We start from the raw sequence: 18654 nt of genomic DNA, 5'->3' as shown, positions 1-18654 counted from the left end.
GAGAAAAAAAAGAATAACTTTTAAAGTGTAGCTCAGAATTCAAATTTTATCAAAGCCAAATTGGAATATGGAAAAGATTTTTTAAAATTCTAAATTTAGGTGCAATGGTTTTCATGTGTGTTTGGAATCTGGCAACCCAGCTCTTCTCTTCCTACTTTAGAAAGGTTGCATATAAGAGGGAGAAGGAAGTTTTGTATAGTTGTAGATGAATCCTTTATGGCACCCCTCAAATAATTATCAAATAAGAATACGTGAATGTTTATATCATCCAAATATCAGTAAAAAGTAAAATATATCCTTTATAAGAACATCTATTTTAAAATTAAGATGCGTTGTTTTCCTCGAAAGGCCAAACCTGAAATTTTATACATAGAAATAATCAGTAGTTTCCTAATGTAGGAAGATGGCCTTTACAGACCACAAACTTTCTAACCTTAAAATATGAATGATACAAGAAAGAAAATTAAGTGTGTAAACTTTTTGACATAATGAACATAAGAATAATGCAAAATAAAGACAGTAATTCACCGAGAAAATGAACACTCAGAATTTGAAATTGCCCTTTTGATTTTTGTAAAGATGATATTTTAATGAAGATTTTATAAGAATTGAAGTAACCTGCAATCAAATTGCATTCCTTGTTGCTACAAACACTATAGCTGGTTAACTATACTCAACTGATTTCCAACACTTCACTGAACATAGAGCATGAGGTTGGGAAGGAATTTATAATCTAGTATAGATGACTCATGTTTTCTGCTTCTATTTTTTGAGCTCATGCCTTCTGGAGGACAAGGGTAGATTAGGCGTAGAAAGCAATGGTAGTTTTGTCGAATTCGTTTTGTTGAATGTCACATAGAGGAGATATTTGGTCTGGAACATGGGGTTAAAGGACTGCATCCATTGTTTGTTTTAGTCATGAAAGTATGTGAGATTGCTCTAAAAGGCAGCAGAGAGTAAGAAGACAAAAGGAACTATAAGGAATTCCAATGTTTTAAAGGAATTAAAGAGGAAGGACACAAAGGAGATGACAGAGAATGTAATAAGGATGAATTTGTCAAAGGAGGTGAATACCAGAGAGGCTAATAGGATGAGGTATGACACAAGAAGTCCATCGAACTTGACAACTAAGACACCTTCCTAAATAAGGACATTAGCAAGGATAGCTCTGGTGGGATGGTGGGGGTGGTAGTCAATTTTCAGAGGTCCAAGATGTGAATATAATTTAGGAAACATAGTCATGGATATAGCAACATTGTTAGGAATGATTGTATGGGAAGGGAAAGGAAGAGTCAGTGTAGGAAAGATCAAGGGCAATAGTGAAAGAAAAATGAGGGACCAGTTGAAGAACTGGAAAATCTAAACCAGTTATTAGAATTTCTGTCTACCTTGTTCTTAGTGCAGATATATCAACTTGCATCCATGGCCTCATCCAAGTCACTGGTAAACATGTCCATCAAGATGGAGACAATAAAAGGATCCTTGAAACATACCACTGCAATTCTCTTCCCAGAGGTTCCCTATCACTAGTTAAAACATCTTTGCATGTCTTATTTCAACACTTTTTTTTTGCTCTCTGAAATTTTCTCAGTCTAACTGGGTGACCTATAGTACATTTATATCTATGTCTCCTTTGTCCTTCATTTAAATTCCCCCTCCCCGTGGGCTTCTCCACAGTTATGGAGCTCCATGGCATTCTGTGCTACTATGCTTTTTTTTCCCCCCTATCTTTATCTTTTAAACCAAGAATCATTTTACTTCCACTTTTCACATATGGCCTCACAAAAGTTCAGTTCTGTTGGGAGGGCTCATTTAGTTTCTTAGTTTAAAATCTCAAGTTAACTAAGTTTACTTGATATACCAGACAGTTATAGATGAGGCTGCAAGTTTTGCTTGTCACACCATTCCCAGTATATTTTCCTGTGAATTAGAATTCACCTTCACCACTGATAGTCCTTCCTCTATGCTGCAGCAGATAAATGACAGTATATGTAGATATTACATTTGGAAATTTTTCTCTTTTTTTCTCGGATTAGAATTTTCCTCTTCTCTCTCTTGTAACTTTTAAAAAATCACTTGAGTTCTCAGACTGTATCATTAAGAGATTAATTAATTCTGATTCTTTACTTAATTGTGAAAATGGGTGATATTTCTCACAGGCAATGGGACATGGAACAGGAGGAGGAACAGCAGGCAAGAACCTGGGAGCAGTTCTACAGAGCAGGAGGAGGTAGGAGAGAATCAGTGTTTACAATTTCTCCACGGTTACCTGACTAAATCAGTGTTCTCTTGAGCCCTGTACTCACTGTGAAAATATTTTTCTGGAACTGGCTTATCAAGTGCAAGTTATCAAAACCTAGTTGCAACTTATCAGTTCTGAGGCCGTCAATAACAGGACCCTTATCCTCATTATTTCAATAAAGTTTACAATTACTCCCCTTACCTCATTCCCAAAGCTGGCTTCTTCATAGTGTTCTATTGAAATATCTAATTTGACTAAAGACTTGCCATAAGATTCCTTGACCTTCCAACTTATTTGCTTCTTTTTATAAAACTCAGTAGTGCTTACAGAATTTTTGTTATAATTATTTTTATTTTCTTTTTTCATACAATTAGAATGACAAATATTTTTCTGGATTTGTTTTATTGAGCACTGGAGTGACATCATTTTAACAGAAGCCTCTGAGAAGTATAATTGTGTTTGAGTTAAACTAGGAAAGTTGTCTGTATTGACTGAAAGAAGGAACTTGAAAAAGGCTAAAGTTTGGAAAGACTTCTGAATAATTAAAAGGAATGAATGCTAAGCCAAGTACCATATTCTTACTTGTACAGTCTATAGAAATTGAGAGTGGGAAACAGATGGAAGTTGAGGTATAGACTCAATATCACTGGGATGTCAGATCAGAAATTATTTTTGGAAGTGTAAAAGGAGCTTTGTGTGTAGGAGGAGCTAAAGAGCTGGGATACAAATCCTGGGAGGTACTAGACAAAGAGTGAAAAATTATGTCTTGAGTGGTAAGTAGGGCTTACCTGCTTTGTGAAAGAGCTATATGATATTTTCCTAAGTACTGATTACACATATCAAATCCTGTATATTTTGCATTTTTAAATTTGAGCACAAACCCCAATGATTTATAACTATTTTCTAGCAAGAACAGGGAGTTTTATATGATTTTTATTTTCAGTCATGCCTTTCCTTCCTTCCACCCTGGTGTTCTAGAGGTATCACATTTATCTAGATATAATTCTCATGTGGATTATAAGATTCTAGAGATCACGAAATAGATGGAACAGCTAAATGGGTAAGGCAAAGTAATGAAAGGATTTACCAAACTTAAGGACTAGTCTAAGATTGAATGAAAGAAAAGCTGCTATGTGTGCATGCTTGACAGGACTAGTAGGGCTCATTCAATCTTGGGGAGGAACAAAGGGCTGGCAGGTGAAAGAGAGAAGCAAACATTGTCAGACCAGGTGTCCAGCATTAAAGCTCGGTTGTACAGAGGATCCCAGATGGCTTAAAAGAAAGGTGCGAATGAAACGACCCAGAGAAGTCAGGAAACAGGAAAGGAAGGCAATAAGCTACGTTTAGGGTACTTGCAATTAGAAGGATTTCAATTGCTTGGCAGTTGTTTGAGTGATAATGAATGTTTGACTCATTCTTGAATAGTGGATAGATTTATTTATTTTTGAAGAAGTATTTTCCAGCCTCTTTCACCTCTGTTTCTCCCCAACCCCTCCCAATTGTTTTCATTTTAAAGGAGCAAAAATATATTTAAGAACTTCTAAAACTAGAATGAAAAGCAGGAATTTAATTAATTATATGCTAGATAATCATATGTATTACCAAAATATGAGAATCTAAGATAATATTAAAAATAAGTTGTCCATATTAAAATATATATAATCTGTGTATTATAGTGTATATGTTACTTAATATATATGATCATATACTGTGTATATTATATATGCACATGTAGTATATATGTGTAATATATACAGTATGTATTAGAAACTTCATATTACATACAGTATATATTACAAGTGTACACATGTACATATATGCATGTCCAATGTACACTTATAATATATACTGTATATATTATACATATATACTATACATGTATATGCATAGTATATATGTACACTATACAAGTAGATATATATTTACTTTTTAATATATACTCTATATAAAATATATTGATGAGCTGCATTAGTTTTATAGTGGAACACTGGAGTGATTTCTCTTTTTGGAAAATGTAAACATTCTCAATAATATCTAGTATATCGATATATGTATATATGTGCATATCAGTTACAAATATTTTAATACATGTGAATTTGAATTTTGCTTAACAAACAATATTTTCCATGATTTTCATAAGTTATCATACCATAATTTTATGTAAGTTTTCATATAATGATGAGAATAAGATAATTTCAAAAAATGTTTAAATATACATTTAGTGAACATAATACTAATTTTCCCAAGCAATGTTTTCTTATGTCTTGTGTTTTTTTGCATTCTGATTGAGATAAATGCCAGTCAGTGGCAAGATAAAAAAAAGATATAAGTTAGCTTTAATAATGTTCAAAACTAATTCAGGCATCATATAGCTATTTACTTTGTATATTTGAGAAGCTGAAGAATAGATTCCTAATCTTGAACCACACAGACATTGTTACCAGACATAAACTATTAAAGCTGTAAAAGAAAGGCAAGGTCATATATCTCAACAATGCTAATATGAATATGTAGTTCAGTATTTATCTTATATAGTCAGAAATTATCACAAAGTTCTAACTGTATTTCAAATGATTTGGGGGAGACAATTTTTCATGGGTACCTTGTGTTTCTGCACATCTTAAGAGTGAAGTACTAACTTTCCTTTGTTCTCAGCTGTCTTTTAAAGATTATTATATAGCAAATATCCTTGGAAGATAGAGATAGTGTTTTCCTCCAGAGCAAAGGGGAGGCATCACATCTGTCCATAAGAGAGGATTCATAAGTTCAGAGTTCTTCTTTTGTAATGTAATGCATTGAGTGTGAGGTTGTCACCTGGCCCCTTTAGCATGAGTCTGTGGAAAATGGAGCTTAAAAAACCAACACAAGTAAATGCAAAAAGTGCAAGTAAAATACCCTGAAAGTAAAGAACCCTTTTACTGCAATACTATTTAGTCATAATGGGTATATTGTAGTAATCAAATGGCAAGTGTATCAACTTTCATGTGGTACAAAACTTACACACTTGTTACAATATAATGTGTCCTAATTTTTATTACCTTAAAAATGTGTACACCATATATATATAGAAAATGTTCTAATTTTTAGCAATGCTATAAAGTATTTAATATGAAAATCTCCTAAAAATATATATATTTGGGGGATTTATAGTGTAGTGCCTATCAAATTTAAAATATTTTGTATTTAAATTATGAAGAAACTACTTTATATCAGGTGACAATTCAAAGCATGTGAATTATAACATATTTAAAGTATTACAGAATCTTCAAGTAGAAGTAATACAAGAGGTATCTAATGAAATAGAAAAAAATATATATATGGGCCTATTCTCTTTCAACAATTACCTCCTTCCTTTTTTTTTGTTTTGTTTTTTTTTTGGTCAACATACATTTCTTGCACTAGTTGTTATTCTTTTCGCCTACTAACAAATGCTCCCTTAAAAAAATTAGTTGTAATTTTATTGAAAATCTGTGTTTTATATGGGCTTTCTGAAGAAAAATAAGTTCTTTAAGGGCCTGTATAATCATGCCAGTGTGGTGAGATTCCAGGTGGATAGTATGAAACCTATCAGCACATACTGAGAATCACACCCATTCTTGCTACAGTCCACAGGGGCTCCTTTTCTGTCTTTTGGGCTCATAATTATATAAATTATGTAAAAAAATCCAAAATAATGGGAATAACAAACTGTTTGGAAACAAAATACCTGGTTGCAAATCTTACTCCAAGACTTAGTAGTTGGACAAAGTTGGGAAAGTAACTGAATTGCTTTGGGGATCATTTCTCTTATCCATAAAATAGGGAAGCAATAGCCAAACTTCCCTCTCATAGTTGTGATGAGAATCAAATTAAATGATGTTCTTGCAGGTTCCTGTAAATCATTAAGTTATATATAAACATATTATAACTAGGAAACATAAAAATGAACAAATAAATAATTCTTGGGTCAGAGTTGAATTATGTATGTATCTTCATATTTGTCAAGTTCTCTGTAAGTATAAATTGCTACATAAATCTGAAGAATGCTTGTCAGCATCTATATATTTAATAATACTGTTATTTGGTAGTCAGCCAGTTCTGCATTAAGAACATCCTGGTTTTATGACTTTAGAAAAAGATGTCAATGCTGATGACTCTTCACTGTTGGCTCTTGATGAAGTTACTCTACCAGGGTTAATTTTGGATAATCAATCCAGACATAGCCTAGTAAATATTGTTAAGTTCATAGGTGAATAAAAGTTTTTATAAGCAAACAGATGGGAAGAAAAAATATTCCTGTATAAATAAAAACATGGTGACTAGATATTTCTGCTTCACAATGCTAAATTTCAGAACATAATCTGAAATATCAAGTTTTCATAGGGCAAAAATATGACTTAAGAATTCCGTGCCAAGCCAAGAGTTAACTATTTGTGAGAAGAAAAACAGAAATACATTCTCTGGTGTGTGTTTGGAAAAAACACTCTCTTACCTTTATTGAAAAGAGAAGGAAGTTACATTGGTTATGACAATAAATGTGAATTAAACTCTACTGTTAAAAAAGTAAAATTTTTATTTTGAGTTAAAAATAAATACATATGGAAGCAAGTTAAATGTCAGTAAGGAAGGCAGAATGCTTAAACCATCACAAATTTATAAAATGTTATTCAGCTATAAAAATCACATTTTCAAGAAATATTTAATAATGTTGGAAATTTTATAAAATAATATTTAGTGAAAAAAGTAGAAAACAAAACTAAATATGAGTATCATTTCCTTTCTGTTAAGCACTGTTAGGCATAAAAAGGCAGAGAAAATAATCAGTATGTGACAGTAGTAATTGATAGGTGGCATGATTATACATAATTTTAAGTTTTGTGTTGATTTCAAGATAATATTTAATTTCTAATATTCTATAATGGCCATATTTTACTTTTATAATCAGAAAAATGAATGAAAGAAAGGGACATAAAAGAGCCATTGACAAATCCTGAGACAAATAAGTAAATACGAAGAGAAGTCCTGCAAGAGACTGAGGAAAACAAAAAAAAACAAAAAAACGCAGTGCTGTAGAAGGAATTACCAAGAAAGGAGACATTTTGAAGAGGAAGAAAACAGCCAACCATCTAAAATACTACTGAAATCGAACAAGATGGGGATGAATAGAACCCATTAGAAAAGTCTAATTGAAAGGCTCATGGGTGGACTTTTCAACAGCAGTTCCAGGCCTTGGCCAGAGTTACTTATTTGTCAGAACTTTGGCTGCTGCAACTTATAGAGTGAATGGAGGAAGAAATCATAGTAGATTATTTTGAGGAACTTAACTTTGAAAAGAAGAAAAATTAGGGTTTGTCTAGAAGGTAATATAAAAAAAAAGGTTTTTGTTGTTGTTGTCCTTTGTTTGTTTGTTTTAAGGTATGAAAAATTAGGCAAGAATTGAATGTTACTATAGTGGTAAAAAGCAAAGGATTTGGAGTCAGATGAATCAGCATTTAATTATACGGTAGTGCCATTCTATCCAAGATTACAAACTTTTGTTAATCTGTTAATCTAAAATATAGATTTAAAGGGAATCATAAAATATAACATATTTTTAAAGGTTATTTTAACTGAAAGAATATAAAGGCACATTTCTTCATCAAATTCTCATAGGCAAGGCCTTTTACTTAGTTACTTGCTCTCCTTTTTGAATAAATTACAATCACAATACATCAGTTACAATTTTCAATAGTGAATTCTGTAAAAGTGGAGTTAAAATTTAAAGCCCTTAGAAGAAAAAAACATTTCTTAAATTTTTAGATTTTTTTCTGCACCTAATTCAACTTCGATTTATGATTTAACTTTATCAAGACATTTCCGAGCATTCAGTTTAATTTTCCTAGAAACAAATTTGTTTTCTTTTTTCTTTCATGCATACTTAATAATTTATAGAATATTTATTTAAATTTAAAATGACAACAAGTGAAGTGAATGAAACAACTTTGAGGGCAAATCCAACTGCTTCTTGGTAAACCTATAATTTAACCAGTGAGCACAGGCTATAGACTGAAGACTACAGAAGGGTGACTAGCCAGCTGACAATACTGGGTGACAGCATTATTTAATGTGTTTTAGAGGAATGGAATCTTGATTACCAGTGGGTTGAGTAAGTGGAGGTGGGTTGACATTCTACTGTGAAAGTCATATTTTTACTGAAGTGAACAAACAATTGATCAAATTCCTAATTCTAAAAAGAAACTATACATTGCAATGTATATGACAAAGAAGAAATATTTCTTATCAAAGATCCAACAGTTAAAAGAACATCATTATAACAGACTGTAAATTATATACCTTAGTGATATACAGTGTCAGACATTTCAAAGTGTCAAGTGATTTTAAAAAACTGGAACCACATTAACCAGATATTGAAATATTATTTATAAAAATATGTAAATTTATATAAATAAATATCTATTTAACAACAAATGGAATTTTGAATCCTTTCTTTGGCTGGAGGTTGAAGAGGTATAATTTCAGCAGTAATCTTTAAAGAGAACAATTGAGTGCATATATGTTTAGGATAGTTAGCTCTTCATGTTGCGTTGATCCCTTTACCATTATGTAATGCCCTTCTTGGTCTTTTTTTATCTTAGTTGGTTTAAAGTCTGTTTTATCAGAGACTAGGATTGCAACCCCTGCTTTTTTTTGCTTTCCATTTTCTTGGTAAATATTCCTCCATCCCTTTATTTTGAGCCTATGTGTGTCTTTGCAAGTGAGATGGGTCTCCAGAATACAGCACACCGATGGGTCTTGACTCCTTATCCAATTTGCCAGTCTGTGTCTTTTTAATAGGGTATTTAGCCCATTTACATTTAAGATTAATATAATTATGTGTGAATTGGATCCTGTCCTTATGATGCTAGCTGGTTATTTTGCCCATTAGTTGGTGCAGTTTCTTCATAGTGTCAATGGTCTTTACAATTCGGTATGTTTTGGCAGTGGCTAGTACCGGTTTTTCCTTTCCATATTTAGTGCTTACTTCAGGAGCTCTTGTAAGGCAGGCCTGGTGGTGATAAAATCTCTCAGCATTTGCTTGTCTCTAAAGGATTTTATTTCTCCTTCCACACTTATGAAGCTTAGTTTGGCTGGATATGAAATTCTGGGTTGAAAATTCTTTTCTTTAAGAATGTTGAATATTGGCCCCAATTCTCTTCTGGCTTGTAGGGTTTCTTCAGAGAGATCCACTGTTAGTCTGATGGGCTTCCCTTTGTGGGCAACCTGACCTTTCTCTCTGGCTGCACTTAACATTTTTTCCTTTAGTTCAACCTTGGTGAATCTGATGGTTATGTGTTTTGGGGTTGCTCTTCTCGAGAAGTATCTTTGTGGCGTTTTCTCTGTATTTCCTGAAGTTGAATGTTGGCCTGTCTTGCTAGATTAGGGAAGTTCTCCTGGATAATATCCTGAAGAGTGTTTTCCATCTTGGTTCCATTCTCCCCATCACATCATTTATGTTCTCTCAACTGGTTCCTCTAGTTAGCAGATCCTGTAACCTTTTATCAAGGTTCTTAGCTTCCTTGCATTGGGTTAGAACATGCTCCTTTAGCTAGGAGGAATTTGTTATTACCCACTTTCTGAAGCCTACTTTTGTCAATTAATCAAACTCATTCGTTGTCCTGTTTTGTTCCCTTGCTGGAGAGGAGTGGTGATCCTTGGAGGAGAAGAGGCATTCTGGTGTTTGGAATTTTCAGCCTTTTGCATTGGCAAACTGAATCCAGCAGCAAATCAAAAAGCTTATCCACCACGATAAAGATGGCTTCATACCCGGGATGCAAGGCTAGTACAACATATGCAAATTAATAAACGTAGTCCATCACATGAACAGTACCAATGAAAAAAACCACATGATTATCTCAATAGTTGCAGAAAAGGCCTTTGATAAAATTCAACACCCCTTTCTGCTAAAAAGAAAACTCAATAAACTATGTATTGATGGAACATAGCTTAAAATAATAAGAGCTATTTATGACAAGCCCACAGCCAATATCATACTGAATGGACAAAAGCTGGAAGCATTCCCTTTGAAAACTGGCACAAGACAAGTATGCCCTCTGTCATCACTCCTATTCAACATAGTATTGGAAATTCTGACCAGGGAAATCAGGAAAGAGAAAGAAATAAAGTGCATTCAAATAGGAAGAGAGGAAGTCAAATTGTCTCTGTTTGCAGATGACATGATTCTATATTTAGAAAACCCCACTATCTCAGCCCCAAAACTCCTTAAGCTGATAGGCAACTTCAGCAAATTCTCAGGATACAAAATCAATGTCAAAAATCACAAGCATTCCTATACACCAGTAACAGACAGAGAGCCAAATCATGAGTGAAGTCCCATTCACAATTGCTAGAATAAAATACCTAGGAATACAACTTATGAGGGATGTGAAGGACCTCTTCAAGGAGAACTACAAACCATCACTCAAGGAAATGAAAGAGGACACAAACAAATGGAAAAACATCCCATGCTCATGGATGGGAAGAGTCAATATCGTGAAAATGGCCATACTGCCCAAAGTAATTTATAGATTCAATGGTATCCCCATCAAGCTACCATTGACTTTCTTCACAGAATTAGGAAAAAACTATTTTAAATTTCATATGAACCAAAAAAAGAGCCCGTATAGGCAAGACAAGCCTAAGCAAAAAGAACAAAGCTGGAGGCATCACACTACCTGACTTTAAACTATACTACAAAGCTACCATAACCAAATCAGCATGGTACTGGTACCAAAACAGATATATAGATCAATGGGACAAAACAGAGGCCTCAGAAATAACACCACACATCTACAACCATCTGATCTTTGCAAACCTGACAAAAACAAGCAATGGGGAAAGGATTCCCTATTTAATAAATGGTGTTGGGAAAGCTGGCTAGCTATATGCAGAAAACTGAAACTGTACCCTTTCCTTACACCTCATACAAAAATTAACTCAAGATGAATAAAGACTTAAACTTAAGACCTAAAACCATAAATACTCTAGAAGAAAATTTAGGCAACACCATTCAGGACATAGGCATCGGCAAAGACTTCCTGACTAAAACACCAAAAGCAATGGCCACAAAAGCCAAAATTGATAAATGGGATCTAATTAAACTAAAGAGCTTCTGCACAGCAAAAGAAACTATCATTAGAATGATCAGGCAACCTACAGAATGGGAGAAAATTTTTGCAATCTTCCCATCTGACAAAGGGCTAATATCCAGAATCTACAAAGAACTTAAACAAATTTACAAAAAAAAAAAAAAAAAACATGAAAAAGTGGGCAAAGGATATAAACAGATACTTCTCAAAAGAAGACATTTATGTGGCCAACATACATAGGAAAAAAAGCCCATCATCACTGGTCATTAGAGAAATGCAAATCAAAACCACAATGAGATATCATCTCACACCAGTTAGAATGGCAATCATTAAAAAGTCAGGAAACAGATGCTGGAGAGGATGTGGAGAAATAGGAATGCTTTTACACTGTTGGTGGGAGTGTAAATTAGTTCAACCATTGTGGAAGACAGTGTGGCAATTCCTAAAGGATCTAGAACCAGTAATACCATTTGACCCAGCAATCCCATTACTGGGCATATACCCAAAGGATTATAACTCATTCTACTATAATGACAGGTGCTCATGTATGTTTATTGCAGCACTATTCACAATAGTAAAAACTTGGAACCAGCTGAAATGCCCATCAATGATAGACTGGCTAAAGAAAATGTAGCACATACACACCATGGAATACTATGCAGCCATAAAAAGGGATGAGTTTATGTCATTTGCAGGGACATGGATCAAGCTGGAAACCATCATTCTCAGCAAACTAACACAGGAATAGAAAACCAAACACTGCATATTCTCACTCATAAGTGGGAGTTTAACAGTGAGAACACAGAGACACAGGGAGGGGAACATCACATACCGGGGCCTGTTGGAGGGTTGGGGGATAGGGGAAGGATAGCATTAGAAGAAATATCTAATGTAGATGATAGGTTGATGGGTGAGGCAAACCACCATGGCACGTGTATACCTATGTAATAAACCTGCATGTTCTGCACATGTATCCCAAAACTTAAAGTGTAATTAAAAAAAAAAAAAAGAGAACGATTGAGAATCAGTGCCCTTGGTGATTTTTATTTCTGAGAATTTGGTATAGAAATTTAGTTTTTTGCTACTTTCAATCTCACTATAAATTTCCATGAAAATGAAATGGGCAGTAGAGATCAAGTTATATAACTTTCTACTGTGATTGAAATCAAGATCAGTTTTTTTTTAATCAGCCCATTAGTGTGCTTTCTTGCTATAAGTGTTTAGTCAAATAAGGTAGAATGTATGTTCCATGATTCCTGTACACACCTTACTGGACTAACTACCGAGCCATGCACAAGAAACAAATCTCTTAGTCAAGACAAAGAGGTCAGTTACCAGAAGCATTTTCCAAAACAAGTGCTAGGCCAGAGGGAAAATTAAGCCATCATATGGGGGATGAAGAGAAACAGTAAAGAGCCAGAGAAACTGAACGGTTGGTTTGCCAAACTGGGAAATCTAGAGCAGGCAGCAGATTGCTGAGACAAAAAGAGATCAGGCTGAGACAGATGGAGTTATGGGAGCTCAAGGGCCAGGTTCCAGTCTCATGAACATTTAGCATCATTACTACTTTTCTGTTTTCTGTGGTTTGTGCTTCCTTTATTGGGGATTATTCCACTGAGCCTGGGGGTGGAGTTTGTGATCATTGCTGCTTGCCGGCAAATTTCCCTTTCTCCTTCCTAAAGAGTCTCATTTCATCACAGAATATCATCTTCTTTCTCTCATTTTTCTGTCATCTGCTGTTCTCCAAGACATTCTTTCTCATATTTCAACAAGTTTATCTCCTAGTTCGTTGTTATTCTATCCGATAATACTGCCTTCTTATCTTGGACCATTTCAATATTCATGTAGACAGTGGGGTTAGAACTAGGAAGAGGCAAGTATGAAGTTTAAGGAGGTATTCACTCTCAGAAGCATGCCAGTGTCTTGTCATTACGAAAAACTGCAACCCCATGATAACCTCAATGTCCCAACTTTTCAGCTAAATTCTTCTAGTACTCCTACTCCAATAATTCTTCACTTACACCAATGGATTATTCCTATACACTTAATTGTCCCTTACCCCTTTGATACTTTCACACTCTTTGTTACCATCTTTAATTCCATGGTCCATCATCATAATCATTCCCTTGTATATACACCCTCTACTCCCTCGCTTCTCTCTGGCTTACTGATGCTCACTTGGAAAATACACAAACCTGAGTAAATTCAACTCTCTGCCCACTTCATACTTAAAGCTTTGCAGCTGAATGGAGCTGGAGAAAAATATACAATCATGCTGAATAATTAATGATCACTAAGTTCAAGTGGGAACTCCAGGCTGCCAGGAAATCATACTGTATTTTCCTAGTACCTCTATTCTGCCACCCTCCTACATGACAATTTATACCTTCTCCTCTCCCATCTAGTAGTAGTTGATTTTGCTTCCTACTTCATTGAGAATATACACACACACACACACACACACACACACACACACACACACACATATATAAAAAGAAACGTGTGTGTGGGTGGAGGGGTGGTGCAGTGTGTGTGTTTACATCTATCTACCTAACAGCATCTCTGTCTCCCTCTAGCTAGAATTTAAGTTCTTAAGGCCACTTTTTCTGCTTTGTTCACTGACTTCCTAACAGCTTAATGTAGAGTATAACACTAAATAATTATTTATAAAATGAATGAATAAATGGGGTATATAAAAAGTACTTTAGAAATTATATTTCATACCATAATAAGTTTTAGCTTTAAATAGTTAAACTTTTTTTTTCTTAATCAAAGTTTTGAAAAACCATAAGAAAATAGAAATGCATATGTTTTGACTCTGGGTCTAGGCAATAATTTTCTAAACTCAAAATTATTGAATTTATAGGCAATGAAGGGAAAATCACAAAGACAACAGGTAGATTAGATCACATAAAAATTTAAAACTTAGAAGGCCTAAATATTACAAATGCAATTTTAAAACAAGCACATGTGCATTATTCTGATGATGGATACACTAAAAGCCTTAACTTCATCCCTATACTCTACATCCATATAATAAAATTACACTTGTACCCCATAAATTTATACAAATAATAAAGCAAAAAATGACAGAGTAAATGTTACTTGGCACAAGGAGAGCTGCAAGGAATTAATGTTGGTACCATGAAATTATAAAGTGACTGAACAGATAAGACATGAAGATCATAAAAAGCTTATAAATTTAGAGAAGATGCTAATTTCTATTAATTTAAGAAATACAAATTGACACATTAAGATCTTTCAAATTAACAATGAAATAATAATAAATTTAAAAGTTAATGTTAAATTGTATTAAACTCAATAATTAGATGTTAAAATAAACTAATAAATATAATAACATTGAATTTTAAATTTAACATAACAATTTTAAAACTAGGGCTGTATAAGCTGGAAACTCGTATTTTCCCCAAAGCAATTTAAAAATATGTACTAAATTTTAAAAGAAAGCTTCTAGCTTTTTGGTCCAGTAATTTAAGTTCTGGTAGTCATATGGATTTTTTTAAAGTGGTAGTTGTAAATACATAGAATTGTTTATGTATATAATTTTATAATAGTAATTTTCCTAAGTGCAAAAATTGGTACGGGGGAAACCTAATTTTACAAAAATAGAGGAAATAAAACAGACAAATTTTCTGTATCCATGGCATGGAGAATCATGCATGCATTAGAAATGCTATTTTTAAAAAGAGGCTTTAGTGGGAAAACTTTAAAAACTAAAAAATAAATTTAGTAAAGTTGCAGAATACAAAATAAACATCCAAAAATAAGTAGGATTTATAAATGACAATAGCAAACTTCCTGAAAAAACAAATCAGAAACGCAGTTGCATTTATAATAGCTACCAAAAAAAAAAAATAGATGTAATCCCAGTGCTTTGGGAGGCCAAGGTGGGTGGATCACCTGAGGTCAGGAGTTCAAGACCAGATTGACCAACATGGCGAAACCCATCTCTACTAAAAATACAAAAATTAGCCCGGTGTGGTGGTGGGCACCTGTAGTCCCAGCTACTCGGGAGGCTGAGGCAGGAGAATCGCTTGAACCCGGGAGGTGGAGGTTGCAGTGAGCTGAGATCACGCCACTGCACTCTACCCTGAGTGACAGAGCAAGACTCCGTCTCAAAAAAAAAAAAAAAAAAGAAAAAAGAAAAAAGAAAAAAAAAAGATACCTAGGAATATACTTAAATAAGGAGGTGAAAGATCTTTACAGTGAAAAGTCCAAAAAAAATTGATGAATGAAATTGACAAGTATACAAAGAAATGAAAATGTATCCCATGTTCATGGACTAGAATAATTAATATTGTTAAAATGTCCATATAACCCAAAGCAATCTGTTGATTCAACATAATTTTTATCAAACAGCACTTGAAATTCTTCACAGAAATAGATGAAACAATCTTAAATTTTGTATAGAAATATAAAAGTTCCCAGACAGTCAAAGCAATCTTGAACAAAAGAAAAAAGCTGGAGGCATCACACTATCTGACTTTAAAATATGATACAAAGCTATAATAACCAAAACAGCATGATACTGGCATAAAAACAGACACACAGGCCAGTGGAACAGAATAGAGAACCAATAAATAAATCCAAGCATTTATAGCCTACTGTTTTTTGACAAAGGCACCACTAACACATATTGGGGAAAGGAATATTGATGCTAGGAAAGCTTTATTTCCACATGCAGAAAAATAAAACTAGACTAATCTCTCACCATATTAAAAAATCAACTCTAAATGGATTAAGAAATTCAATGTAAGACCTGAAACTATAAAACTATTAGAAGAAAACATTAGGGAAATGCTTCACGAAAATGTACTGGGCAATAATTTTTTGGATAAGACCTTAAAAGCACAAACAATAAAAGCAAAAATAGACACATGTAACTATAGCAAACTAGAAAGCTTCTGCTCAGCAAACAATTAATAGAGTGAAAAGACAACCTACATAATGGAAGAAAGTATTCCATAAGCCAGTTTTAAAATGGGCAAAAAATAACAAATAAGCCAATTTTAAAATGAGCAAAAGATTTGAATAGACATTTCTCAAAAATAGACATACAAGTGATCAATAAATATATGAAAAATGCCAATATCACTAAGTATCAGGGAAATAGAAATTTAAAAACCACAATGAGATATCACTTCACCCCAGTTAGAATGGCTATTGTCAGAAAGACAAAAAAATTACAAATGTTGGCAAGAATGTGAAGAAAGGAGAGCTCATATAAACTGTTTGTGGAAATGTAAATTGGTAGAGCCATTATGAACAACAGTATGGATGTTCCTTAAAAAATTAAAAATAGAACTACTATATGATCCAACAATCCCACTACTGGGAATATATCCAAAGAAAATGAAATCAATTATGTCTAAGAGATATATGCAGCCCATGTTCATTGCAGCACTATTCACAATAGCCAAGACATAGTATCAACCTAAGTGTCCATCAGCAGATGAATGAATTTTAAAATGTGGTATATATACCCAATAGAATACTATTTAACCATTAAAAGAATGGAATCCTGTTATTTGTGACAATCTGGATGGATGTAGAGGACACTATATTAAGTGAAATAAGCCAAGCACAGGACCAATACTGCATTATCTCACTCGTGTGGAATCTAAAAAAGTTTATCTCATTGAAGTAGAGAGTAGAATAGTAGTTACCAGAGGCTGGAGAGTGTAGAAGAGATGGAGGGATTGGGAGAGGTTAGTCAGCAGGTACAAAGCTACAGTTAGGATGAATAAGTTATTGTGTTCTATTAGGCAGTAGTTTAACTATAGCTAATAATAATGTACTGTATATTAATAGCTAGAAGACAGAATTGTAAATATTCTTTTTATGCTGCATGTGAATATCTAGTTTTCCAATAGCATTTATTGAAGGAACTGTCCTTTCCCCATTGTGTGTTCTTGGCCCCTTTTTCAAAAATCAATTGACCATAGATGTGTTTATTTATGGGCTTTCTATCCTATTGCTCTTGTCGATGTGACTGCTTTTAAGCCACTGCCATGTTGTTTAGATTACTATAAATTTGTAACATATTTTGAAATCTGGTAGTGTGATTCCTCCAGCTTTGTTTACTTTTTTGGTCAAGATGGCTTCGGCTTCACCAAGAGCAGAATATCTGATATATTAATAAAAATAATAATATGCTTGTTTGTTATCAAACTTCTGATGACATACTAAATTGCTACTTTTTTTTTGAGACAGAGTCTCATTCTGTCACCCAGGCTGGACTGCAGTGGTGTGATCTCATCTCACTGCAGCCTCTGCCTCCCAGGCTCAAGTGATTCTCTTTCTTCAGCCTCCTGAGTATCTGGGATTACAGGCATGTACCACCATGCCCATTATAGCTACTACTTTAACAATTCTGTTTGTACTTATGCCATAATTACACATATTTTTATTCCTGCTTTCAATGTGGAAAAAAACATACAATCTTCATAACACCAAAAAATTCACCAGTGCATTTTTAATAACATAAGAAACTACAGTTTTTATCATCCAATTATATACTTTAATAGTTAACATGTATTATTTTATTCAATCGTGCTTGCCATCATTTATCTTTCCAAACAATCTATTTTAAATTGCCAGAGACTCTCTACAAAAATTCCATGTTTGGACTCTTAAATATTCCATGATATAGGAATAGGACAGAAGCAGAAATCTGGGACATGCAACATAATATTCAGATAAGCCATGGACAAAAGAGCTCAATTCATGAAACAGAAGGAGACTAAAGAGTAGGCAGAAAGAAGAGGCTGCAAGGATCCTTTTCAAGCAATTTCCCCATACCACTTAATATAAGAGGGAAGCGAGAAAGCGAGATCAGTGGATGAAGAAAAAGTAATTATTAGAAGCTAGGTTCTACATATCATTCTTCTCACCCTAGCACATTTTTGATGTTCCACACTATATAGAACTTTTTTTTAAAAGGCACCACATACGGATTTTTAAAGGTGCAACTCTGCTTCTAAGACTTACTTCTCTCTCCCTTGGTCATTAGAAAGCAGTGCTGGAGGTAAACACTGAGTCAGAGATGGTGCCTAGCACTGCAGCCAGGTCTCACGCCCATATGTTAGATAAGTGCACCCCCTATTTCACTAGGCTCTAGAGGAATCTGTCCCAGCATTAGCTGCCATAAATCATACTTCTGGCGTTTATGAAACTTTGTCAAATTCTTTTTGGAAAGGATGAAAAACATTTTTCATTCAGGACACTCTATCCATGGAAATGTTTGGTGCTCATAGGTGTTGGGCAAAGAGTTCCCTATGGAGTCAG

General features: G+C 33.9%; 2 long non-coding RNA genes across 3 annotated transcripts in view; one reads left to right on the top strand and one right to left on the bottom strand.

The window, feature by feature from the left end:
• The window catches only part of CXXC4-AS1 (CXXC4 antisense RNA 1), a 206628-nt gene that overhangs the window by 145397 nt on the left and 42577 nt on the right, over positions 1-18654 (bottom strand). The window lies entirely within an intron of this gene.
• Positions 1-18654, top strand: part of LOC124900745 (uncharacterized) — a 141925-nt gene that overhangs the window by 103744 nt on the left and 19527 nt on the right. The window contains exon 4 of one of the 2 annotated variants that reach the window (XR_007058210.1): positions 2160-2230. The exons of the other annotated variant lie outside the window; for it this stretch is intronic. This is a non-coding gene — a long non-coding RNA (uncharacterized LOC124900745). The remainder of the gene's footprint in view (positions 1-2159; positions 2231-18654) is intronic. 2 annotated transcript variants of the gene reach the window in all.

This window comes from Homo sapiens, chromosome 4, assembly GCF_000001405.40.
Source record: "Homo sapiens chromosome 4, GRCh38.p14 Primary Assembly".
Taxonomy (NCBI): Eukaryota; Metazoa; Chordata; class Mammalia; order Primates; family Hominidae; genus Homo; species Homo sapiens.
This window is presented reverse-complemented; position numbering and strand designations above follow the sequence as displayed.